General features: G+C 61.6%; 4 protein-coding genes across 24 annotated transcripts, besides 6 other annotated features; 2 read left to right on the forward strand and 2 right to left on the reverse strand.

Annotated features, from left to right (window-relative positions):
* Positions 1,767-2,156: a silencer, noted in NCBI's record as "silent region_7616". NCBI's record gives its function as "represses an Ori minimal core promoter by ATAC-STARR-seq in GM12878 lymphoblastoid cells {active_cell/tissue: GM12878}" and the evidence as "EXISTENCE:reporter gene assay evidence [ECO:0000049][PMID:35858748]".
* CARMIL2 (capping protein regulator and myosin 1 linker 2) lies at positions 2,073-14,498 on the forward strand. 8 transcript variants are annotated; one of them, XM_011522875.3, is made up of 39 exons: positions 2,073-2,215; positions 2,469-2,560; positions 2,653-2,706; positions 2,947-3,009; positions 3,115-3,239; positions 3,355-3,446; positions 3,643-3,713; positions 3,829-3,902; positions 4,045-4,135; positions 4,228-4,316; positions 4,437-4,531; positions 4,609-4,695; positions 4,775-4,887; positions 4,981-5,058; positions 5,167-5,243; positions 5,327-5,431; positions 5,614-5,683; positions 5,822-5,903; positions 6,005-6,101; positions 6,183-6,240; positions 6,376-6,548; positions 6,735-6,897; positions 6,978-7,079; positions 8,116-8,244; positions 8,330-8,443; positions 8,614-8,774; positions 8,850-8,937; positions 9,128-9,268; positions 9,401-9,467; positions 9,948-10,183; positions 11,078-11,178; positions 11,261-11,621; positions 11,707-11,829; positions 12,960-12,996; positions 13,157-13,228; positions 13,353-13,574; positions 13,730-13,810; positions 14,150-14,245; positions 14,335-14,498. In XM_011522875.3, exons 1-39 carry the CDS (start codon positions 2,176-2,178, stop codon positions 14,445-14,447), a joined length of 4,233 nt encoding a protein of 1,410 aa, XP_011521177.2. In that variant the 5' UTR covers positions 2,073-2,175; the 3' UTR covers positions 14,448-14,498. The 8 variants fall into 8 exon arrangements, with proteins under 8 accessions (XP_011521177.2, XP_016878442.1, XP_047289600.1 ...); XM_017022953.2 differs by having other exon boundaries at positions 13,763-13,810; XM_047433644.1 differs by having other exon boundaries at positions 4,045-4,120.
* Positions 10,387-10,919: an enhancer, noted in NCBI's record as "H3K4me1 hESC enhancer chr16:67687361-67687893 (GRCh37/hg19 assembly coordinates)". NCBI's record gives its function as "activates a minimal SCP1, AML or CMV promoter by ChIP-STARR-seq in primed H9 embryonic stem cells {active_cell/tissue: H9 hESC(primed)}" and the evidence as "EXISTENCE:reporter gene assay evidence [ECO:0000049][PMID:30033119]".
* ACD (ACD shelterin complex subunit and telomerase recruitment factor) lies at positions 14,441-17,189 on the reverse strand. 4 transcript variants are annotated; one of them, NM_022914.3, is made up of 12 exons: positions 17,051-17,189; positions 16,832-16,965; positions 16,631-16,724; positions 16,466-16,542; positions 16,304-16,348; positions 16,158-16,192; positions 15,857-16,008; positions 15,649-15,745; positions 15,484-15,570; positions 14,915-15,291; positions 14,691-14,782; positions 14,441-14,613 (listed from the first exon to the last, which is right to left on the reverse strand). In NM_022914.3, the coding sequence occupies exons 1-12, from the start codon at positions 17,147-17,149 to the stop codon at positions 14,535-14,537; spliced, it is 1,368 nt and encodes a 455-aa protein (NP_075065.3). In that variant the 5' UTR covers positions 17,150-17,189; the 3' UTR covers positions 14,441-14,534. The 4 variants fall into 4 exon arrangements, 3 of the variants coding, with proteins under 3 accessions (NP_075065.3, NP_001075955.2, NP_001397813.1); NM_001082486.2 differs by having other exon boundaries at positions 16,832-16,974; NM_001410884.1 differs by lacking the exon at positions 15,484-15,570 and having other exon boundaries at positions 16,832-16,974.
* Positions 16,519-17,102: an enhancer, noted in NCBI's record as "H3K4me1 hESC enhancer chr16:67693493-67694076 (GRCh37/hg19 assembly coordinates)". NCBI's record gives its function as "activates a minimal SCP1, AML or CMV promoter by ChIP-STARR-seq in primed H9 embryonic stem cells {active_cell/tissue: H9 hESC(primed)}" and the evidence as "EXISTENCE:reporter gene assay evidence [ECO:0000049][PMID:30033119]".
* Positions 17,256-17,365: a silencer, noted in NCBI's record as "silent region_7617". NCBI's record gives its function as "represses an Ori minimal core promoter by ATAC-STARR-seq in GM12878 lymphoblastoid cells {active_cell/tissue: GM12878}" and the evidence as "EXISTENCE:reporter gene assay evidence [ECO:0000049][PMID:35858748]".
* Positions 17,676-18,155: a silencer, noted in NCBI's record as "silent region_7618". NCBI's record gives its function as "represses an Ori minimal core promoter by ATAC-STARR-seq in GM12878 lymphoblastoid cells {active_cell/tissue: GM12878}" and the evidence as "EXISTENCE:reporter gene assay evidence [ECO:0000049][PMID:35858748]".
* PARD6A (par-6 family cell polarity regulator alpha) lies at positions 17,889-19,703 on the forward strand. Of its 8 annotated transcripts, none has more exons than XM_005255977.4 (3): positions 17,889-18,030; positions 18,384-18,639; positions 18,822-19,703. In XM_005255977.4, exons 1-3 carry the CDS (start codon positions 17,968-17,970, stop codon positions 19,574-19,576), a joined length of 1,074 nt encoding a protein of 357 aa, XP_005256034.1. In that variant the 5' UTR covers positions 17,889-17,967; the 3' UTR covers positions 19,577-19,703. The 8 variants fall into 8 exon arrangements, with proteins under 8 accessions (XP_005256034.1, XP_011521397.1, NP_058644.1 ...); XM_011523095.3 differs by having other exon boundaries at positions 18,825-19,703; NM_016948.3 differs by having other exon boundaries at positions 18,384-18,606.
* On the reverse strand, positions 19,874-23,679 carry ENKD1 (enkurin domain containing 1). 4 transcript variants are annotated; one of them, NM_032140.3, is made up of 7 exons: positions 23,287-23,679; positions 23,000-23,194; positions 21,925-22,097; positions 20,866-20,991; positions 20,586-20,749; positions 20,349-20,485; positions 19,874-20,250 (listed from the first exon to the last, which is right to left on the reverse strand). In NM_032140.3, the coding sequence occupies exons 1-7, from the start codon at positions 23,369-23,371 to the stop codon at positions 20,090-20,092; spliced, it is 1,041 nt and encodes a 346-aa protein (NP_115516.1). In that variant the 5' UTR covers positions 23,372-23,679; the 3' UTR covers positions 19,874-20,089. The 4 variants fall into 4 exon arrangements, 3 of the variants coding, with proteins under 3 accessions (NP_115516.1, XP_024306237.1, XP_024306238.1); NR_138150.2 differs by lacking the exon at positions 21,925-22,097; XM_024450469.2 differs by lacking the exon at positions 20,866-20,991.
* Positions 23,251-23,520: a silencer, noted in NCBI's record as "silent region_7619". NCBI's record gives its function as "represses an Ori minimal core promoter by ATAC-STARR-seq in GM12878 lymphoblastoid cells {active_cell/tissue: GM12878}" and the evidence as "EXISTENCE:reporter gene assay evidence [ECO:0000049][PMID:35858748]".
* Positions 23,680-23,742: the final 63 nt, after the last annotated feature.

The following is a 23,742-nucleotide window of genomic DNA, read 5'->3' on the forward strand; positions in this document are numbered from 1 at the left end:
TTGAGGGTTCTGTGTGGTCTTAGAGCCTTAGATCTTAATCCAAATTATGTCTCTTCGTGGCCAGGCATGGTGTCTCACGCCTGTAATCCCAGCACTTTGGGAGGCCGAGGTGGGCAGATCACCTGAGGTCAGGAGTTGGAGACCAGCCTGACAAACATGGTGAAACCCCGTCTCTACTAAAAACATAAAAATTCCCTGGGTGTGGTGGCACATGCCTGTAATCCCAGCTACTTGGGAGGCTGAGGCAGAAGAATTGCTTGAACCCAGGAGGCAGAGGTTGCAGTGAACCAAGATCGCCCTACTGCACTCCAGCCTGGGCAACAAGAGCGAAGCTCTGTCTAAAATAATAATAATAATAATGATAATAATAATAATAATAATTAGCCCAGGCATGGTGGTGGGCACCTGTAATCCCAGCTACTCGGGAGACTGAGGCAGGAGAATTGCTGGAACCTGGGAGGCGGAGGCTGCAGTGAACCAAGATCGCCCTACTGCACTCCAGCCTGGGCAACAAGAGCGAAGCTCTGTCTAAAATAATAATAATAATAATGATAATAATAATAATAATAATTAGCCCAGGCATGGTGGTGGGCACCTGTAATCCCAGCTACTCGGGAGACTGAGGCAGGAGAATTGCTGGAACCTGGGAGGCGGAGGCTGCAGTGAGCCAAGATTGTGCCACTGCACTCCAGCCTGGACCACAGAGCAAGACTCTATCTCAAAACCAACAAACAAACCAAGTATGTCTCTTCAATCGGGGAGGCAGCAGGAACTCTCTGTGCTGCATCTTCTGCAGCTGACTCCTCCTTGTCACCCTTAGCTGTCATTTCACCTCCACCTTGCTGAGCTATGGGCAGGGTAGACTGCTGTTCCTTACCGCTTAAGTGGAGTTTAGATTGTAATAGAAGAAAAAAAATGCAGTCTCTTCCTGTGAACTTTCCAGAATCTAGGTCCTGGTCTTTGAGAGGGCAACAGGCTACCAGGCCCCACCCTATGACTGTCTGACCCCTCTCAGCCCTGGAGACACTGGCTTATTTCTCTCTCTCTGGCTGCCCCCTCCCAAACTCTCTCCAGCCTGGGGAGAAGGCAGACACAAGAAGACCCTCATGTACCTGGACGACTCACTCCGGCCCTCTATGAAGTGCTTGGGGTTCAGGGCTCACCTTAGCCCCAGGCTTCCCCCCGAAGGCTCCGGGTACACCCTCACCTTCGGCCCTGACCCCACCTCTGCGGCAAGGAAGGGCGTCTGGACCCATCAGGCTGTTTTTTTTTTTTTTTTTTAGACAGGACCTGGCTTTGTCACCCAGGCTGGAGTACAGTGGTGCGATCTCCGCTCACTGCAAACTCTGCCTCCCAAGCTCAAGTGATCCTCCCACCTCAGCCTCCCAAGTAGCTAGGATTACAGACACACGCCATCACGCCGTCTAATTTTGTAAATTATTTTGCAGAGACAGGGTCTCCCTATGTTGCCCAGCTTGGTCTCGAACTCTTTGGCTCAAGCGTTCCTCCTTCCTCGGCCTTCCAAAGTGCTGGGATTACAGGCGTGAGCCACCGCGCCTGGCCCCATCTGACATTTTTTCCCACCCATTCAAAATCTCTTGGATCCCTAACAGGGTCACGGACTCCAGGTTCGGAGCAACGGGCAGGACCTCCGGTGTTGGCAGAATTCGGGCGCTCCTTGCTGAACAGTCCCCCTTCTGCCAGGCGCCTCGTCCACCTCCGCAGCCTGGGCTTTGGAGGGGACCAGCCCCGGTGGGCCGCGGGGATCCCCAGGCAGGCAGCGTCCCCTGGTGTTCGCGGCAGGGACTGCGGGGCGGGGTGGAAGCCGGGGGCAAGGACCCGCTGGAGGCCCGCCACACCCGCGACCCTCCCGGCCACGCCACTGCCCACCCCGACGTCTACCCTGGCGGAGAAGCTCCTGGGCGACGGGGCGGGCGGGCAGGTGGGACTCGGCCCCCCTCCCACAACCCCGCTCCCGGGCAAGCTCTCGAGCCGCGAGGCCGGGGCGGGGAGGGGCCGGGCCGGGGGCGGCCTGGCAGGAAGCGGCGCGCACCTTCCGCCGCCGGAGGAGCAGGTGGCTGCCGTGCGGGTCTGGGCCCCAGGCTTCCTGTGTGCGCGCTCGTCCTCTGCTGTTTCCCGCCGGAGCTCGTTGGGCCTCCCCGGCCCGCCCGGCCCATGGCCCAGACCCCCGACGGCATCTCCTGTGAGCTCCGAGGTAAGCGCTGGCCCTTCCTGCCTTCTTGGCCGGGAGGAAGTAGTGCAGCCCCAAAATCAGAGGCCCACCCAGCGCCCCAGAGGGCCTGGTCAGAGGTCCTCCCTGCTCCCCAGGAGGGCAGGCGCCCCAGATCCTCTCCCCTCCTTCCTCGCTGGCCGCAGATAAGCCCCAGGGCCCCAGCCTGGCACAGACTGTGGGCACCAGTGGCTTCTGTGCAAGGACTGAAGTCACCCAGCAGGCTGCCCTTCCACAGGCGAGATCACCAGGTTCCTGTGGCCCAAAGAGGTGGAGCTGCTGCTGAAAACCTGGCTACCCGGGGAGGGTGCTGTGCAAAACCATGTCCTGGTATGGGGCAGGGGACAGAGCCGGGGAGGCGGCTGTGGCCCCACAGAAAGAGCCTCTTGCTCTGCCCAGGATATCAGACTGTCTTTCCCCAGGCACTGCTACGATGGAGAGCCTACCTGCTGCACACCACCTGCCTCCCGCTGAGGGTGAGTCCCAGGGCCTGGCCACACCCCCGCCCGCCAGCAGCTACCTTGGCAGGGGGCTGCATCTGCAGAGTGGTCCTTCTTGGCCTTGTGGGCCCTGACTTTGCACCAGCACTGGGCTCTGGGCAGCCGACAGGAGGGGAGTCCAGGCAGATCTGGCTCTGCCCCAGGCTGCCCAAAGGACTGGACTTCCATGAGGGCGGGGCTGGGGGCTTGGTCCCAGCTGATCTAGGCCCTTTCTAGGTGGACTGCACGTTCAGCTACCTGGAGGTCCAGGCCATGGCGCTGCAGGAGACACCCCCTCAGGTGAGACACCTAGTACCCTACCTGGGCCTGCAGCCTGGTCTTCATGCTACCACCATCACCTGCGCCCATGTGTGGAGCCGAGGCCTAGTAGTGCCCCTTCCCTAGGTCACCTTTGAGCTGGAGTCCCTGCGTGAGCTGGTCCTGGAGTTTCCTGGTGTGGCCGCCCTGGAACAGCTGGCCCAGCACGTGGCTGCAGCCATCAAGAAGGTCTTCCCTCGCTCGACCCTTGGGTGAGGCCTGGCAAATTCGAGGGGCTGGCAGGGGAGGAGGGAGTGCATGAGAAGGGCTGCTTCCCATCCCAGAGGCTGGAAGTCCTTTGCCCCCTTCTCCTTAACCCCCTACCAGGAAGCTATTCCGGAGGCCCACACCAGCCTCCATGCTGGCTCGGCTGGAGAGAAGCAGCCCCTCGGAGTCCACTGACCCCTGCAGCCCCTGTGGTAAGGGTGAAGGCAGAGCCACAGGCCTTCCAGCCTGCCCCACCTCTGCCTCCCCAGACCCGCAAGCTGGGGGGGCCCCAAACTGAACAGAGCCATTCAGGTCCCAGCCACCACCTAGTCTGTGGGTCTGGTCTTCCTCCATCGCTGATGTTTTGTCTCTCTCCTTTTCCACATCGCACCCCTATCCCCTCCCCAGGTGGCTTCTTGGAGACATACGAGGCTCTGTGTGACTACAATGGCTTCCCTTTCCGAGAGGAGATTCAGTGGGTGAGGGTAGGGCCCTTTTGAAGGGCTCTGGAGACATCTGGTCCCCCATGTGTGCTGAGCCCCTCCCTGCCCCTTGTGGCCCCAGGCGAACTGTAAGCATCTCCTTCTCACCCAGGACGTGGACACCATTTACCATCGCCAGGGCTGCCGCCATTTCAGCCTGGGAGACTTCAGCCACCTCGGCAGTCGGTGTGTGGCCTGCCAGGATGGGAGAGGAGGAAGATCCCGGGGCCCATATCCCTGGGCCTCAGTTTCTCCATGGAGGGGCTGCTGGGCCTGGGACCTGGCTGGAGGGCCCTGAGCTCTGCCTCTGTTCCCACCCTCCCACCAGGGACCTGGCCTTGAGTGTGGCTGCCCTGTCCTACAACCTGTGGTTCCGGTGCCTCTCCTGTGTGGACATGAAGCTGGTGAGGGGGTTCGGGGTAAGGGCAGGGAGGGGCCAAGGGTGTGGGCCAGGGTGCAGCCCGCTGAGGGCCAGGGTGCAGCCCGTGAGCCGCCGCCCTCTGCTTCTCAGAGCCTTGAGGTCTCAGAACAGATTCTGCACATGATGAGTCAGTCATCACACCTGGAGGAGCTGGTGCTGGAGACCTGCAGCCTGAGGGGGTGAGGGGGACAGGGCAGGGCTTGGAGAGGAGAGTCTGGAGGCTTGGGACTGGGGGCTAGTGGCCTGGGAGGGGTTGGCAAACCAGGGGCAGAATCTCATGCCTGGGGTCTGGTCCCCAGAGACTTTGTCCGACGACTGGCCCAGGCGCTGGCGGGACACTCAAGCTCTGGGCTGCGGGAGCTCAGCCTCGCGGGGAACCTGCTGGATGACCGAGGTATGACTGAGCCTGGGGACCGCAGGGGTGGGCAGCAGGAGGAGGTGAGACCCACGTGGCTGTTCCCACCCCCCAAGGCATGACTGCACTCAGCAGACACCTCGAGCGTTGTCCAGGAGCCCTGAGGAGACTCAGCCTGGCCCAGACAGGGTTGACACCGCGAGGTAGGCTGGATGAGGGAGGGGGTGAGGGGAGGGGGGTGGGGGTCTGTCCAACTGCTGAGTGACCCCGACCCACCACCAGGAATGAGGGCTCTGGGCCGGGCACTGGCCACCAATGCCGCCTTCGACTCCACCCTGACCCACCTGGACCTTTCTGGGAATCCTGGGGCGCTGGGGGCCTCCGAGGACAGTGGGGTGAGTGGCTGTCTTCAGGGTGGGAGCTTGGGGTTGCTCATAAGCCCTGGGTAGGCGATCCCCCACTCCATCGCACCCCTGTCCTCCCTCCAGGGCCTCTATAGCTTCCTGAGCCGTCCTAACGTACTGTCGTTCCTGAATCTCGCAGGCACCGACACTGCCCTGGACACTGTGAGGGGGTGCTCCGTGGGGGGATGGATGACCGGCAGGGCGGACTGGAGGGCGGGACGGGGAGGGCTCGGTCCCCCCGCGGGTGTAGCCAACAGCCTCCCCCCGCAGCTCTTCGCAGCGGTATCCCGAGGCTGCTGCACCAGCCTTACCCACCTCGACGCTTCGAGGAACGTCTTCTCCCGCACGTAAGGGGGACCTGTCGGGGCCGGGGGAGGCTGCTGGAAGCCGCCTCCTTGCGGCCCCAGGCCCACCTTCCCACTTCCCCCAGGAAGTCCCGCGCCGCGCCGGCCGCGCTGCAGCTCTTCCTCAGCCGCGCGCGGACGCTGCGGCACCTGGGCCTGGCGGGCTGCAAGCTGCCGCCCGACGCGCTCAGGTCAGTGTCGGACCCCGGCCACGCCCCCGCGGGCGCTCCCACCCTGCCCTGGCCTTCGCCCCTCCCCGCTCCTGCTTCTGTCGCTCCCACAACCTCCCCCAGATCCTGGCCCTGCCTCCTTCGTTCGCACCCTGGAGCCCCCTGTCCCAGCTCCCGCCACCCCGTGTAACGTCCTCTCCCAGAGCCCTTTTGGATGGCCTCGCGCTCAACACGCACCTCCGCGACCTGCACCTGGACCTCAGCGCTTGCGAGGTGAGCGCCGGCCCCCAGAAGAGACCACACATTGGGAGAGGCGCTGGGAGGCGGAAGGGCAGGGCCGTGGGCCGCCTGCCCCTCCCCACTCGCGGCCTAAGTGGGTCCCACTTCCCACCTCCCACCTCCCACATACAGCTGCGCTCGGCCGGCGCCCAGGTGATACAAGACTTAGTGTGCGACGCAGGCGCTGTGAGCTCCCTGGATCTGGCGGATAACGGTGAGGCTGCAGGAGAGCCCATCCTCGCATCATCCACTCGATTCCCAATCCCCACCCTACCCTTGCAACTTCGCCTCGTGCGTGACCCGAGTCACCCCCAGGCTTCGGCTCAGACATGGTGACTCTGGTGCTGGCCATCGGGAGAAGCCGGTCCCTGAGACATGTGGCGCTTGGAAGGAACTTCAACGTCCGGTGCAAGTGAGCCCCCACCCTACTCCTGGGCCTCCCAGACAACACCCCACCACCCCTGTCCCCCACAACTGCGGCCCCTGCCCACAGGGAGACCCTGGACGACGTCCTGCACCGGATTGTCCAGCTCATGCAGGACGACGATTGTGTGAGTTCACGGGACCTTGCAGGGCCTCGGGCAATTAGACCACTTTGGTCCTCCTTTCTCTTGTTCCCTCAGACCCTGTGACCTGCCCTCACTGACCCCTGACTCCAGCCATCAATGGCTTTCTCTTAACCCCAGCCTCTTCAGTCTCTGTCGGTGGCTGAGTCTCGGCTGAAGCTGGGTGCCAGCGTCCTACTCCGGGCCCTAGCCACCAATCCTAACCTGACCGCGCTGGATATCAGCGGCAACGCCATGGGGGACGCGGGCGCCAAGTTGCTGGCCAAGGCGCTGCGGGTCAACTCGAGGCTCCGGTGGGCGGGGTCAGAGGGGTGGGACCAGCGGGCAGGGGGCGCGGTGGAGAGGAGGGCACCGGGCTAAGGGGAGGGACTGAATGAGGCGGAGCAAATGGAGCAGGCTGACGAGGCGAATGGACTAGGCCGAGGGTTGGGTGGGGCGTTGGGAAGCTCCGTCCCCGACTGAAGCCAGGCCCGGCCCAGGTCTGTGGTCTGGGACCGGAACCACACATCTGCTTTGGGTCTGCTGGACGTGGCGCAGGCGCTGGAGCAGAACCACAGCCTGAAGGCCATGCCTCTGCCACTGAACGACGTGGCCCAGGCGCAGCGCAGCCGCCCGGAACTGACAGCACGTGCAGTCCATCAGGTGGGCGTCCCCCTCTTCCCTTGCCCTTCTCTGCACGGTAACTCCGTCCCTCGGCATTTCTCAATACCCCTTGCCCCTAGATCCAAGCCTGTCTCTTGAGGAACAACCGCGCAGACCCTGCCTCTTCTGACCACACGACCCGCCTTCAGCCACTTGGTCTGGTCTCAGACCCCTCAGAGCAGGTCAATGTCCCCTCCCCAACCACGAGAGGTAGGGCATGAGGAGACCTGTGGCATCCGGGAGCCTCCATGAGTCAGAGGGTCTGACTTTCCTGGGGCCAGGGTGCCTGAGCCCTGCTGTCCCACACAAAGTCCCTCTCCTTGATCTGGAGGCGGCTAAACACCCCTTAAATAGCTCTCCAAATAACACCCTTGGCTGCCTAACGTTAAGCCTGTAAACAGGCTGTCCTGTTAGAGAGGAATTTTTATGTCCTTCCTCAATTTTCCCCCAATTGTAGCCCCATCTCTGTCCTCACATATACGTGACTCCCCTCCCCTCTCCATTGTGTGCCCAAACCCAGCTGCTCCTTCACTGTCTTCATCTCCCTCCACTACCTTATCTGTTGGAGATGTTTCTACCTCTCCATTCCCAAATACCTCTTCTTTCCTAAGCTTCAGAGCCCAAAGGTCTTAATCCAGACATCCTGCTGGGCTTCATGCTCTGCACTTCTCCAAGTGATGTCATCGTCGCTCACAAACCCTGTTGTCTACCCTGGAGCCCAATCCCACTGGTGCCCACAGCCACCCAGTGCTGTGGACAGAGGTTGGGGCACCCTTCCAGGTCTCTCCTGGTCACACTGGAGCCCTCATAGGCCTCCTTCGTCCTGCCTCTAGACCAACCTTCATACATGCCACTCCTTACCCCCACACCAATTATCCCTTGCTCCTCCTGGTCCCTCCTCCAGGGCTACTCACTCCCTTTTCTACCCCTCTCTCAGTCTATCCTCTGTGTGGACAGACTGAGCTTCTAAAACACAGACATGATTTACAACTCCTTTCCTTCCTATTCTGGGCACTTAGGAAGTGTATATAAAGTCCTTAAAATGAACCAAAGCAACAGATAGTTCCTTCCCTCCTTGAACAGATAGGGTTCCAAAGTGGCTGGTCTAAGGGTGTCAGCTTCAGGACCTCCCTCTGTTAAAGAGCCTGGGAGGAAGGCAGGCAGGATCTGGGAGACTGGGAGGGGGCTAGGCTGAGACTGATCCCCATTTCGCCCCAGGAAGTGAATGAATTGTGTCAGTCGGTGCAGGAGCATGTGGAGCTGCTGGGCTGTGGGGCTGGGCCCCAGGGTGAAGCCGCTGTGCGCCAGGCCGAGGATGCCATCCAAAATGCCAACTTCTCTCTCAGCGTGAGCACTCCCCCTCCTGCTACAAGGACCCTTCCCCTCTTAGTCAGGTGTCAGCTCGCAACTGCTTTTCCTCTTTGGCCCTCAGATTCTCCCCATTCTATATGAAGCTGGAAGCTCCCCAAGCCATCACTGGCAGCTTGGGCAGAAGCTGGAGGGCCTTCTGAGACAGGTGGGCGAGGTCTGCCGCCAGGACATCCAGGTGAGAGGGTACTCCTGCCCCAACCCCACCTCCGTTTGCAGGTTTGACTCCCATCCTTTAGTTTTAACTGTGATATCCCCTGACTCAATATTCTGTTGGAGTTGGAGCCTCAAGCCAGCAGCCTGGTGTCTGGCCACATCCTCACCATGCTCTGACTGACCTTTGTCTAGGACTTCACTCAGGCCACACTGGACACAGCAAGGAGCCTCTGCCCACAGATGCTGCAGGGATCCAGCTGGAGGGAGCAGCTAGAGGGGGTCCTGGCAGGCTCGAGGGGCCTCCCGGAGCTGCTCCCAGAGCAGCTGCTGCAAGATGCCTTCACTAGGCTCAGGTAGGCTGGATGGGGCTGGGCTGGGCAAGGCTGAGCAAAGCCAGCCCATTAACCCCTGTCCTCTCCTGCCCTTAGGGACATGCGGCTATCAATCACGGGGACCTTGGCAGAGAGCATTGTGGCTCAGGCTTTGGCAGGCCTGAGTGCAGCCCGGGATCAGCTGGTGAGGGGGAGATGTGCACACACTTTCGTGCAAACACACACATGCAGTGACTTGGCCATCTCCCTTGCAGGGGCTCTGTAATGTCTTCTGGGGTCATGTAGCCCAGGGCTATTTCAGGGTCCCCTTAGTTAGCATCAATGGGATCATGGCTGAGGCCCTACCTGCCATCTTTGGCTGCTTGGTATTGCAGGTGGAGAGTCTGGCTCAGCAGGCAACAGTGACAATGCCCCCTGCCCTACCAGCACCGGATGGAGGTGAGCCCAGCCTCCTTGAGCCTGGGGAATTGGAAGGTCTTTTCTTCCCCGAGGAGAAGGAAGAGGAGAAGGAGAAGGTAAGTGGTTTTAGAACACGGGGCATGGCACTCCCAGTCTTCCCATCTTGCTGTGGAGTGTGGAAGGTGAAAGGCAGCTCTTTTGGGTTGGTGCTCTCCTACCCCAGGCTGAGTTTGTGCCCTCCCCACCAGGATGACAGTCCTCCACAGAAATGGCCTGAGCTCAGCCACGGTCTTCACCTGGTCCCCTTCATTCACAGTAAGTCAGGGCCTTGGGGGAGGGAGTTTACGTGGGTGGGCTGAAGCTCCATTAGACTTGGGGACCCGGGGACCTGGATGAACTCATTCAGCCTTGTCTGGGTACCCACCAGCCCTTGACTGGGCCAGGTCGGGCCCCTTGTGCAACCTGCAAAGCTGGGGTCTGCTGTGGTCAGCCCGGGGCGGGACCTGGGCGGATCTGGGACAGGACACCGGCTCAGCTCGCCTCCCCGCGCCCCTTTCCCTACCCCAGGGACGCGCATGCTGGGCGGCGGCGCGGAGCCGCGCGCGCTCGGGGCCGCGCTCAGCACCACGGACAGCGGCGGCGGCGGGGGAGGGGCGGAGGGGCAGAGGGGCGGGGGGACGGGCGGCGTAGCCGGGCCCCTCCCCGCGCCCTGGGCGGGTCCCCCGCCGCCCTAGCGCCTCCGCCGCCACCTCCCCGGGCTCGGCGCTCGGTGCTCTTCTGGTGCTGTCCCCTCAGGTGCTGCTGAGGAAGCGGAGCCGGAGCCCGAGCTGGCGGCTCCGGGAGAAGATGCAGAGCCGCAGGCGGGGCCGTCCGCGCGCGGCTCTCCGAGCCCTGCCGCCCCTGGGCCCCCGGCCGGCCCGCTGCCCCGCATGGACCTGCCACTGGCGGGGCAGCCCCTGCGCCATCCGACCCGGGCCCGGCCGCGGCCGCGCCGCCAGCACCACCACCGCCCGCCGCCGGGGGGCCCCCAGGTGAGCACCCTTCCCCCACTCCGGAGCGCGTGGAATTGGGGATCACGGGTGGCCCGGCCGCTCCTCATGGGTGGTAGCGGTCAAGGAGAGGGGGTGGTGGGGGCCCAAGGCCACCTGGTCGTGCGGCCGCGGTCACATCCTGGCTTCTTCCTGACCACCCCCCACCCCAGGCCATGCCTGTGCGGGACCATGGGTGTGCGGGTTCCGTTCGGGGTGTGCCTGGGTGTGGGACTCCGTCTCGGGGCGGCCCGCGGCCTCCGTGGCTGCGCGAGAGAGGGTGTCCGTCCTCCCTCCCTCCCCCGGGGCTGCTGAGAGATGCCGGGCAGCCGGGTAGCCGAGCCGCGGGGCCAAGCCTGCGTCTGCTGCGCGTCCGGCGGCGGCGCGTGTGGGGAGATGCGTGTGTGGGCTGCAAGCCCGCGGGGGCAGCGGGCACTGGCGGAGGGCGGGGAGGAGCCGGCTTGAGGCCCCCCAGAGGGTCTGACGCAGCAGCCGGCGCCACTGAGCCGGCAGCAGGCCGGGTGGAGTGGGGGTGGGGTGGGGGACACTGCAGGGAACTGTTCGGAGCAGAGCTGGTGGCAAGTGGGAACGGGTGACCCCGGGGGCACGTGAGGGCTAGGTTTGCTGGTGACCGGGTGGCTCGGGCGTGTAGGATACTCTGTGGGACAAGGACGGGTGTGGACTGGGTGTGCGGGAGCCAGCAGCGAGTGAGGAGTGCGTGAAATCTGGAGTCTCTGTCCAGCAGCAGGACAGTAGGAGGCTGGTATCAGCAGCCCCTAGGGTCACCCCAGTCTGGAATCCTGGAGTTATTCAGTCCAGGCTGCCGGCCGGGGGGGGGGGGGGGTAGAAGCCAGAGTTGCACTCAACCCTGACCCCTGACCCCATGATGCCCCCCAGGTACCCCCAGCCTTGCCGCAGGAAGGGAATGGGCTCAGTGCCCGCGTGGACGAGGGCGTGGAGGAATTCTTCTCCAAAAGGCTGATCCAGCAGGATCGCCTGTGAGTGAGGGGCATCTGCTGGGGGTGGGAGAGGGTGGGATGCCTGATGGGCTTTCTCGCTCACTGCTGGGTGTCCCCACAGCTGGGCCCCCGAGGAGGACCCGGCCACTGAGGGGGGCGCCACTCCTGTCCCCCGTACACTGCGAAAGAAGCTGGGCACCCTCTTTGCCTTCAAGAAGCCTCGTTCAACGCGGGGTCCACGGACTGATCTAGAGACCAGCCCTGGGGCAGCTCCCCGAACCCGAAAAACTACATTTGGCGACCTACTGCGGCCGCCAACCCGTCCCAGCCGTGGTGAGGAGCTTGGTGGGGCTGAGGGGGACACCAGCAGCCCTGACCCTGCCGGCAGGAGCCGACCTCGCTACACAAGAGATAGCAAGGCCTACTCGATGATACTGCTGCCTGCCGAGGAGGAGGCAACGCTGGGTGCCAGACCCGACAAGGTGAGGCTTGCTGATGGGGGGTGGTGAAGGCGCTTCTGGGACCCAGGGCGCGGACTGTCTCCAACTCGAGCATCTCTGTCCCTAGCGGCGGCCCCTGGAGCGGGGAGAAACAGAACTGGCTCCATCCTTTGAACAGCGGGTACAAGTAATGCTGCAGAGGATAGGCGTCAGCCGAGGCAGCGGGGGTGCCGAAGGCAAGAGGAAGCAAGTGAGTTGAGGGGACCTGAGCATGAAGTGAGAGGGCAGATGGCATGCTGTGGGTGACATAAGTGACCAAGATGGAGGAGACTCATGACAGATAGGTCTAATTGTCAGTTCTACTCCATTCTCCTCGAAATGGTTACAGATTCGACCTTTCTTCCCTCTTGGCTTTGACCCAGGCACAGGCCACCAGCATCTCCTCTTTGGACCTGAGAAAGTCTTTTCTCTGCAGGTCTAATAGAAATCTGAGGCCTGGGCCAGGCGCCATGGCTCACGCCTGTAATCCCGACACTTTGGGAGGCTGAGGCAGGTGGATTACCTGAGGTCAGGAGTTAAGAGACCAACCTGGCCAACATGGTGAAACCCTGTCTCTACTAAAAATACAAAAATTAGCCGGGTGTGGCGGTGGGCACTTGTAGTCCCAGCTACTTGGGAGGGTGAGGCACGAGAATTGCTTGAACCTGGGAGACAGGTTGCAGTGAGCCTAGATCGTGCCACTACACACTAGCCTGGACAACAAGAGTGAGACTCATCTCAAAAAAAGAAAAAGAAAAAAATCTGACCTTGTCACTTGTGCTTGAAATAGCAAGTCCTCCAGGGGCTTCCTCTCAAGACACTGTTCAGACTCCACAACCTGCTTCAGAGCCCTGTGGGGTCTTGGCCCTGGCCACCTTAAAACCTCACTGCTTTCCTCCCCTGGTGCAAATCAGAGCCTCCACACACGTCCCTGGGTGGTCTGGATGTCCTCCCTGCCTCGCTTCCAGTCTCTAATTGTGGGTTACGCCAGGTCCCTCCTCAGCCATCCCTGCAGTGCCCATGGTTCTTCCCTGACTCTCCTCTGTGGGCCACCCTGCTAATGTCTCTCTCATTAGAGTCCCAAAGAACCCCAGCCCTCCATACCATCCATTCAATATCTTAAAAAACAAAAAACAAAAACAAACAAAAAACATGAAGTCGGCCTGAATTTAGAAATATTCAAGTGTGCAAAGAGTTCTAAGAGGGCTGTACTGGGTTTGCCATGTTCTTGTCCAGCCCATGGTGGGCATTCAGTGGCAGGATTATAAGAACAAGAACGAACAAAAGGCTAGGGTGTGGGGAGCGGGCAGGGCTGGAATCTGATTGCCCTGTTTCCTGCAGAGCAAAGATGGCGAGATCAAGAAAGCTGGCTCAGATGGTAAGTGGGACCCTGGGGTGTGGCAGTACATTTGCCAGGAGGTGTCCTTATAGACAGCCCCCAAGGCACTTGCTCTCCTTGGGGAGGAAGGGGAGAGGCCAGGTTTTTCTTCCCCTCACCTCCAAGGTCTGGTACCTGAGTCCCCAGCTCCGCCTTGCAGGTGACATTATGGACAGTTCCACGGAGGCCCCTCCCATCTCGATCAAGTCCCGCACCCACTCTGTGTCTGCTGGTGAGTGAGGGCCACTGTGTGTGTTGGTAGTGGGAGCAGGGACAGGCAGGAGTTGGGTCAGACTGTTGTTCAGACCTATCGCCAATGCCTGACCAGGTCTTGGCTGACACCTTTCTCCCTACAGACCCTTCCTGCAGACCTGGCCCAGGGAGCCAGGGGCCTGAGTCTGCCACCTGGAAGACACTGGGGCAGCAGTTGAATGCGGAGCTCAGGAGCCGTGGTTGGGGCCAACAGGATGGTCCAGGCCCTCCCTCCCCTGGTCAAAGCCCAAGTCCCTGCAGAACCAGCCCCTCCCCAGACAGCCTGGGCCTCCCAGAGGACCCTTGCTTGGGCCCCAGAAATGAAGGTAGGCAGGCACCTGATTCCCCACCCCAATCCTGGCCTCGGGGCTGGAGGAGTTCCTGCTGGGAACTCAGCTCCTCTAAGGACCCTGAGGGTGGGAGGCAAGGGCTGGAGTGGGGGCAGCTGTTGGAATACCCCTGATTCCCTGGCCTCCCTCAGATGGCCAGCTGAGGCCGAGGCCTCTCTCGGCAGGGCGGCGAGCAGTGTCTGTGCATGAGGACCAGCTCCAGGCCCCTGCTGGTGAGGGGAGACACCTCCACGTGTGCTTGAATGCAGGAGATGTGGGAGGGTGGGCTTCTGGGGCTCCCTTCATAGCTTTGGTCCTTGGAGGGAGCCACCAGTGTGTGAGGTCTCAAGAAATCAGGGAGCCAGAAGACCAGGTGCAAGGGTTTGACAGCAAGCCCTTCCAACTAGCACTGGCTCCACTTCCCGAAGAGCAGCCTCTGCCAGGGGTGAGGACGCAGGGACGGGGGATGCTCTGAAGGCAGCAGTGTGTGTGAGTGCATGCTTATGTGCACTGGAGGTGGAAGAGAGGGGCAGGGGATGGACAGACCCCAAGCCTTAGCAACCCACCCCAAGCCTTTCTGTGTCCCTTAGAACGGCCCCTGAGGCTGCAGCGCTCCCCCGTCCTCAAACGCAGGCCAAAACTCGAGGCACCTCCATCCCCAAGCCTAGGTAAGAGGGGGTCCAGGCCAGCTGGGAGGGTGGCAGGACTGCTTAGCCCAGCCCTGACCCTTCCTCTCTCTCCCTCCCTCCCCTCACAGGATCTGGCCTTGGAACCGAGCCTCTGCCCCCACAGCCCACAGAGCCCTCCAGCCCTGAGCGGAGCCCACCCTCCCCAGCCACAGACCAAAGAGGCGGCGGCCCCAATCCCTGATCCTCTCCTCTCCTGCCGCATGAGATTATTTTATTAAAAAACTCAAAGGAAGCAGAGTGTGGAGCGGTATCTGTCCTGCGTGACGTCTCACATCGGAGTTGGCTCAGACCCTGGCTGTGCATCCATCAGAAAGTGCAAGGCCCAGGCCATGAGCTGGGGAGGAAGCCTGGAAAGAAACCACCGCTGCAGGTCAATGGAGCCTGGGACTAGTGACCAAGAGTTGGGGCAGACCCAGGCACTCACCTGACAGCTTGGACCCGAGCACAGAGGGACGTGCAGGGTGGCTCATACTCATACTGGAAGGCAGAACCATCACGATGCCTCTTTGGGGGTTCCTGAAAGGGGTATGGTGTCTGGGGAAGAGCTAACAAGGACCCCAACCCCATCCAAGGCTACCCATGCTCCCTCCCAGCTCTACCTCAGGCCTTCCTTGTTCTACCCTCCAGCTGCAGAGGGGCTATGCTCACCCAGACAGAGCAGGGCTCCTGGGCTCCCCTGGTAGCTCCGGTCCTGGGAAAAGGCGGCCGATTCTTGCAGGGCAACCCTACAAACTCCTTGAACTCCAGGCTAGGTTTCTGGGGCCTGGTCACAAGAGCCTGGTGTGGACTGGGGACATGGCTACGGGGTGAGAGACTGGGAGTGCAGCTCTGGAGTGGGGAGCTGGGGGTACGGCTGGCGTGTGGGGACCTGGGGGTCAGGGTGGCAGGGGCTGAGCAGATGGCTGGTGAGGGCTGGGAGCTGCTTCTCTGCCCTGGGTCTGGAGCAGCCAAGGACAGGGCAGGCAGAAGGCTGATGCTGGTACCACTTTCCTCGGATGACATGTGGCCGGGTAAGGCCGGGGTTCCTGAGGAGGAGGGGACTTATTGTAGGCACAGCCCTCTCCGCTCAGGGCAGCTGAGTGGCCTGCGAGCTCAGACAGGACTGCAGGGACCGTGTTCATCCCCCACCCACCGTGCACCTTTCACAGCATCCTGCGCAGCCCGGGAACCTGACTGACAGGCGGCAGTGAGTGCCTGTGACCTGTGCATCACCTCACCTGAGGAACTGGGTGAGGAAGGAGGAGAGGCTATGAGGGTCAGAGATAGGTCCTGCAGAGCCGGGTCTGGTGGGGGCAGCTCAGGGCCTGGGGGGTTCAGGAAGTCTTATCAGCACTGTGGACCTGGGCCCCAGGTATCCCCCCAACCTCTCCAGTCCCCCTTACCCTGTGTCCTCTGACAGGGGCCTAGAGAGCTCAGAATTAGCTGGTCATTCTCAGAGATGCACAGCATTGAGCTGGGGACAGTGTACACAGCTTCTCCCTGTGGGACATGAACTCTGTAGGACAGGCCCGTTTACTCTCATGTCCTGTGGGATATGACCCTTGCCCAACTCCTCACCCTGACATCTCCCAAGCAAATCCCCAGACTGACCGTGGCCTTGCATCGTGAGGCAGCCCAGTGGGTGACAGGGGGTGCTGTGCAAGGGCCCTCCAGTGTCAGGCAGCTTTCAGCCAGGCACACGAGTGCCCCCTGATGCTCCTGGTCCTCCCGCATTTCATCCAGAAGCTGGGACAGTGATAGGCCTGGGGACAGGGGACCATGGGATGAGTCAAGGCTTAAAGGGGAGGACCAGGAGGGTGAGGGGGAAGACAGCTTATTGAGGAAGCATAAGGTTAAGGCTGGAGAGATCACTGCACAGCGTGTTAGGATCACTGGTCAAGCTCTACAGTACCTGCATTGGACGAGGTGGACTCTGAAAGGTGCTCCCTACAGGAAGAGAGTGGCCAGGACTCAGGAACCATGCTGAGGCCTGTCTACCTAGATACACCATCCCCTCACCAAACAACACGTGGCCCCCGAGCCCAACCCCAGACTCACTCAAGGCAGTCATAGAGCTTTTTCTGAACATCTAAGTCTTGGTTGCTAAGAAAAAGAGAAGGGTAGTTAATGGGGGCCCAAGCCCTCCTACCCCATAGGCGTCTGCCAGCGCCGGCCAGGCTGGGGTGGGGAGAGCTGCTGGAGGGCGGAGGCATCACTTACCAACCAGGCACCCGTAGCCGGGGCTGCTCCGTGGGCAGCAGGCTGAAGCGGTCCACCTGGAGATAGAACTCTGCGGGCTGGAGGAGTTCGGGGGGAAGGGGGGGTCTCAGAATCGTCACGAAGAGTCATGCCCGGTAACCCGCCCAAGGCAGTCTCACCACTCACCGCGCCGCCCTCAGCGACCTGGACATGAACCCCGCAGTCCTGCAGCAGCAGCAGCCGGCCCTCTGTCCCGCGGAAGCCGAACTCCTTCTCCTCCCTGCAACAAGCAGGATCCTCACTGCCGGGCCCACCTGAACACAAGGCCCGCCCACCTCGCGCTCTCCTGCCGGACTCCGACCTCCAGAGCCGCGCGGGGCCTCTCACCAGTCCGAGGTGTCCAGGGCCTCCCGCGTCACCAGGCATCGGACACTGTGGGTCCCGTCAGACACAAGCAGCGTGGCCCCGACGTCGGACGTATCAGGGGCGTGGGATGGGCCCGCGACCGCGGCCTCGGCGTCCTGTAGTACCTGACGGCGGCGAGCGGCGTCAATCCCACCACCCCGGGCCTCCGCCTCGGTCTCCGGGCCCTGAATGGGGGCTCACCTCAAGCAGCTGCCCGGCTCGTGGACTGGAGGGTGTCTCTGACCCCAGAATCAGCTCCCGAATCCAGGGCCGTAGGACCAGCCTCCCCGAACCTGCCATCCCCACGGCTACACCCAGCGGATGCAACGGGCCCGGGTTTCCCGCGGGCGCCCAGGCCCCGCCTTTCCTCGGAAGAGGAAGCTCCTTCGCTGGGCGGGGCCGGAGGAGGAGGCCCCGCCCACGTACACCCCGCGCCTGCGCACGAGGGCGTCCTGCTCGGGGGCCTGTGTGCAGACTCCCGCTGGTCCACCCCGCTGGTGCACGGGATGCTGGCCCGTTTACTCTCATCGCGGCGTCACTCTGACAGCGGCCAGGCATTTGGGCCGTTCGTCAAGATTCCTGTGGTACCGGTAGGGAACAGAACAAGGGCTGGTCCCGTCCCTGGAGAGGGTTCCAGGGCCGGAGGCTGAGGCCGAGTGCCGTCCGAGCGAGTTGACTCGAAACCATTTCAGCACCGTGTGACCCCCGAACGGTTCAGCACATATTTATTATGACTCAGTTTCCTCATCTACACAGTGCACGGTCTTGTAAGGCCAGTGGAAATAAGAGCACACACACAGCGCTAAATAAATGGTACTTCCTTCGCCCTCCCCTCGGATTGGCGGAGCCCTGCTCCCCAGACTCCGGGGGCGCGCGGACCTCAGCGTGATGACGCAAGAGCGGAGGACGGCTCCTCTCCATCCACGGCTCCGTTTCCTAGGAAACGTGGACTCCGCGTTCCACTCTGCGTCGCTGCCCCCTTGACGTCACGCTCCGGATGGGAAGGCGGGGCGTGTGCTACCGCCAGGGGCGGGGCGGCGCGGGCGGGCCGGCCGGGCTGTGCACCTGCGCCTCGGCGGGCCGCCTGGGGCACCGTCCCCGGCCCGCCCGGCCCCGCCATGGCCCGGCCGCAGAGGACTCCGGCGCGCAGTCCCGATAGCATCGTCGAGGTGAAGAGCAAAGTAAGGGCTCCTCCGGCCTCGGCCCTAGGCGCTCCCAATTCCCTCTTTCTCCCCTTCCCAGCTCCTTGGTCCCCGCCACCTCTTCCCTCTATCCTCCAAGTCCCATTCTGCTTTTCTGCTCGCCTTCCCCCATCCGTCTTCCTTCCTCCACTGCTGGTCTCCAGCTCTCTGTGGCCTGAGTACCTGGAGGGCGGTAAGAAGACCTTGGACAGCGTCCCTGGTACTGGAGCTGAGGTCTGGGCTTAAGGCTGCCGCAAAAGCGGCAGCCGCATCTTTCCCATTCCTGCCAGCCTGCGGTGAGAAAGGGGCGCAGGCTGTCCTGACTCCTCCTCTCCCCCAACCCCGACTTCCAGTTTGACGCCGAGTTCCGACGCTTCGCGCTGCCTCGCGCTTCGGTGAGCGGCTTCCAGGAGTTCTCGCGGTTGCTGCGGGCGGTGCACCAGATCCCGGGCCTGGACGTGCTACTTGGCTATACGGATGCTCATGGCGACCTGCTGCCCCTCACCAACGACGACAGCCTGCACCGGGCCCTGGCCAGCGGGCCCCCGCCACTGCGCCTACTGGTGCAGAAGCGGGGTGAGGAGGGGTACAGTGGGCAGCCTCTGTGGGGTAAGGTGTCTGTGGGGCAGGTCTACAAGGGTTAGTCCATGCCCAGGGTACCCAAGCGTCACCCTCTGCAGTCCCTGCCCTTGGCTTGACCTCTAAGTGGTAGGAAATAGCTACAGTGCCCCCTGTAAACAGCCCAAGTCGGGGAGCAGGTCTCTGATCTCAACATCCCCCCTCTTCTGCAGCAGAAGCTGACTCCAGCGGCCTGGCTTTTGCCTCCAACTCTCTGCAGCGGCGCAAGAAAGGGCTCTTGCTGCGGCCAGTGGCACCCCTGCGCACCCGGCCACCCTTGCTAATCAGCCTGCCCCAAGATTTCCGCCAGGTTTCCTCAGTCATAGACGTGGACCTACTGCCTGAGACCCACCGACGGGTGCGGCTGCACAAGCATGGTTCAGACCGCCCCCTGGGCTTCTACATCCGAGATGGCATGAGCGTGCGTGTGGCTCCCCAGGGCCTGGAGCGGGTTCCAGGAATCTTCATCTCCCGCCTGGTACGTGGGGGTCTGGCTGAGAGTACAGGGCTGCTGGCGGTCAGTGATGAGATCCTCGAGGTCAATGGCATTGAAGTAGCCGGGAAGACCTTGGACCAAGTGACGGACATGATGGTTGCCAACAGCCATAACCTCATTGTCACTGTCAAGCCCGCCAACCAGCGCAATAACGTGGTGCGAGGGGCATCTGGGCGTTTGACAGGTCCTCCCTCTGCAGGGCCTGGGCCTGCTGAGCCTGATAGTGACGATGACAGCAGTGACCTGGTCATTGAGAACCGCCAGCCTCCCAGTTCCAATGGGCTGTCTCAGGGGCCCCCGTGCTGGGACCTGCACCCTGGCTGCCGACATCCTGGTACCCGCAGCTCTCTGCCCTCCCTGGATGACCAGGAGCAGGCCAGTTCTGGCTGGGGGAGTCGCATTCGAGGAGATGGTAGTGGCTTCAGCCTCTGACAGTCAGGATGAAGCCCCATGCCACTCCACACTGCTGGGACATGGCAGGGACTTCACAGTGGGGGTTTTTAGCTGGCTCACAGGGCTCCCTCAGCCTGGGGAACATTAAAGGTTTTCTACAAATACAGTCATGGTCCTTGTGTGTCCCAGTTCCAGCCTCCTCCCTGGTCTCACCAGCTTGCCTTCTGCTCTGGACTAAGGCAGGAGTGACATTGGGGAGAACTTCCTGCAATCAAGCAGCAGGAGGGCCACCAGGCTTGGCATTTTTAGGGTAAGAAAAGCTCTTATGGAAACAAATCCTGTGTACAAAATGTTTAATTTTGACAAAGCAGTTAAAAGGCTAGGGTGGCCCTTCTGCAGCCACTGGTGACTGGGAAGAGTGCTCTAGGGACACTGGCCACCCCCCTGCTCCTGTCTTCAGACCTCTGCTCTGGGATTGGGTCCAACCCTGTCCTTTGCAGCCATGTGGCGATCCTCAGCATGGAGCTCCTTGCCACTGTCCCCCAAAGGGGCTCAGTCGTCCATCTTCACGAAGACTTTGGGCCGAGAAAAGATCTTGATGGCCTCCTCTACCTGCACCAGCTTCCGGTCCAGCTCAGCACGGTGGCTCTGGGCTCTCAGTGAGTCTGCCCCAGCAGGCAGCAGTACCAGCTCACGCAGCAGCTGGCTCTGGCCTACAGGGGGCCCGGGAACAGTGAGAACAGTGAGTGTTGGGCAGGGGTGCCCGGTCCCCAGTGGGGCCCCCCTCCAGCCTCCCTGCCCAGGTACTCACTCTGGAGCAGCTTGGTCAGTGTTTCCAGCCGCTGGTTCTCAGGCATGCGCGTGTGGCCTGGGGGCATGGCAGGGTCCGGCTGGCTCTGCTTGCGGGCCTCGGCCTCCCGCCGCCACAGGTCCCTGCGCTCCAACAAGCTGTGGGTACACAGGCTCAGAGTTGATGACCCGAGGGCAGAGGTTGGTTCCCACCCTCCACAGGTGTCCTTCACCCTGAGTGTCGGGCAGTGAGACCTACTAATGTGGCACATGGCCCTTCTGCGTGGCATTGTAGTGCTCCTGGGCCTGCCGCTGCTGCTCTAGCACTTGTGCCAGGACCTGCAGTGAGCAGGAATGCCTCCGGGGGGCTCTCTTGGCAGCTCGTGCATTGTGACGAATGAAGTCCACCCCCAGGCCTGGCTCCTGCAGGACACAGCAAGCGTGGGTGGGGGCAGACAGCATTATGTTGTGTCCCTGAACACCCCCCCCACACCAGGAGCCCTGCCCAACCACCATCTAGCCCCCATACATCCTCTCACCTTAGCTTCGGGACCTGGTGGGGTTGGCTGGGGACTAGATACATGGGGTGGTGGGAGGCCAGGGCCGCAGCGGGAGTGCGCCCGCAGGAAGTGGGCAGACTCTGTCCCAGAGGCAGGGCCAGGCTCCTGGAGGGCAGGGCACAGCAGAGAGAGCAGGCAGGCTGAGGTCTGGGGCTCAAGCTGCAAGACCCTGGCCATCTTGGCCCTTCTGACCTTTGCATCCATGTCCCTCGGGCCCTCTTCCCTCTTCAAGGGACACTTGTCCTCATCAGCACACAAATGTGTGAGTATGTCAGATTTTTAAGAAAACAACAAACCATCTCTCCTTCCACCTCAGTACTGGCCCAGCTACCACTCTCTTTCCTCCTTCCTAGCCAAGCTTCCTGGCTCTAGCCCTGCAAGGCTCCTAACAGCTGGCCTCCAAGTCCTCAAATCCAGGCGGTCAATTCCTTGGTCTCGTTGTCCTCAACCTGATCGTCAATAACTCCTAGGTCTCACTCCTGAGATCCAGGCCTGAATTTCCATCTGCTTCCTGGACACACTCCCACCCCCTGGGAACCCCACAGATGCTTCAGCTACAACACATTTGTGTGACCTTGCCTTTCCTCTCACTCCTGCTCCTCCTACTGAGTCCCTGAGACAGAGCCCCCCACCATACCCCTGCCCTTCCCACTGTCCTCAGAAATAAGGGCTGAAAAGTGGCTTTTGTGGCCCCTGACGTGGGTCCAGCTGACTTCTTGGCCTAACTTCACGCCCTTCTTTCCTCACAGTGAACTGTACCTAGCATCTCCACTGCTGCGTGCCCTGTGGTCTGTGAGGTTCCATCTTTTGGGAATGTTCTCTTCTGCTGTCCCTTTGACTAATTGCTACTTGCCCTCAGGATCAGCCCCACCATCACTACTTCTGAGAAGCCCCCCAGCCTCGCCCTGCAGCAGAGCCAGGGTCTCTTAGTCCTCTGTTACCTCTGTGACTTCCCTCCCACCCCAGAACTCAGATCAGGGTACAGTTGCCTGTTGGCCAACAAAATGGATAATACTTCTGGCTCCCTGAAGCAGGTACCTGGAGCTGGGCCTTGACCCGGGACTCCACCTTGTCGTACTTGGGTGAGCGCCACAGAGCTTTCAGGGGCCTGGGCTGGCCCTGCTCCCGGCTGCGCTCCTGTTCTCTGAAGCGCTTCTGAATCTCCCTGATCCGCCTCAGGTTCTCCTTCTCATGGTCCTTAGGGTCCTTCCCTGGAGAAAAGATGCCCCCAGGTTCTGCCCTACATGGGGCCCACACAGTCCAACTTCCACTAGTTCACACACAGGCCTGCCCCCTGCCTCCTACAGAAAGAGCTCCCTGACCTCTCCAACTACCTTAGACCCTACACACACTCTCCCTCATCACCGTGTTCCCTTCCTCATGTAGTAAGTATCACAGGATGATTTTCTCCATTATTATTATTATTATTATTATTTGAGACAGGGTCTCACTCTGTCACCCAGGCTGGAGTACAGTGGCATGATCATAGCTCACTGTAGCCTCAACCTCCCCGGCTACCTCAGCCTGCCGAGTAGCTGGGATTACAGACACACTCCACCATGCCAGCCTGATTTTTGTATTTTTTGTAGAGATGGGGTTTCACCATGTTGGCCAGGCTGGTCTTCAACTCCTGGACTCAAGTGATCTGCCCGCCTGGGCCTCCCAAAGTGCTGGGATTCCAGGAGTGAGCCACTGCGCCCAGGTGATTTCCTCCATTATTATAGTGAAGTACACCATTGAAGTACACCATAGATCATCTCATATATGACATTCATCTCTTGATCTTTGTATCCCACCTTGACTCAGTGATGGCTCATGCTTATCTTCAGCCCTGTGTTCTAGCATCTATATGGCCTGGCACACAGTAGGCACTCAACAAACAAATTTAATGGGTAACAAATGCATAAAGCAGAGCTAGGGCTTCGTGGGAACTACCTCATTCAGTTCACCTCCTTCGAGAAGGTAGCATATTTCTCCCCCTTTTATAGTTGGGGAAACTGAGACTCAAGAGATGCAAAGCCTGGGCCCACGTCAGGGTGGAAAGAGCAGCTGCTTTTGATCTCTTTCCACCCCGCACTGCCTCTCTGTCCCTTCTTCCATTCCTGGGACTTACTCTTGAGAGAGGCCCCAGGACCTAGGGAGATCCCCTCGAGTTGCAACAGCACGTCCCCGACGCCGCGCTGGCCGCGCTCCAGGATCTCTCCGGCACCGGGACCGATGCAGGGGCCACGGGGAGCGGTGGTGTCCAGGGCCCGGTCGGAAGTCAGCAAGTCCAGCTTCAGCGCGTTTCCCTCGAGGCGCCCTTGAGCTGTGGGGCGGAGCCGGGCGGAGTCCGGGGCTCAGAGGTGGAGCCAGGGCCGACCCCTGAGCCTCGCACCACCGCCAAGCCCCCGGACTCACCCGAGGTCGGCCGCCTGTAGTTGTCAGGACAGAGCGTCGGGTCTGGGGGGATGGGCCCCGAGATGCGGGACGGGCCCTCGCACATGCCGCCGGCGCCGCCCAGCAACGGTGCCCCGAGGCCTGCAGGGCTGTTTACCTCCCTCCCCGGGCCCCCTTCCCCAACCCCGGGCCCCCTCCCTCGCCCGGCACCCTGACCCTGGCGTGCCCGCCACTCCCGGGCCCCTGCCGGTCCCCGCCTGGGCCCCGGCCTCGCTCGCCACCTCCGCGACCTCTGCTCCCAGCCCACTTCTCGGTCCCGCTCGCGGCCTCTCCCCCGCGGCACTCGGGCAGGGGCTCACTCGAGAGGTTTTGCCGCCAGCCGCTGCCACCCGACGGGACTTGTTGTTGCCGGGCAACCGTGGCTTCCGTCCCCGGGGTCAGGGCCCACTGACCCCGGCGCAAAGCGTCCTGGGGCTT

Source organism: Homo sapiens, chromosome 16 (assembly GCF_000001405.40).
Source record: "Homo sapiens chromosome 16, GRCh38.p14 Primary Assembly".
Lineage (NCBI taxonomy): Eukaryota > Metazoa > Chordata > Mammalia > Primates > Hominidae > Homo > Homo sapiens.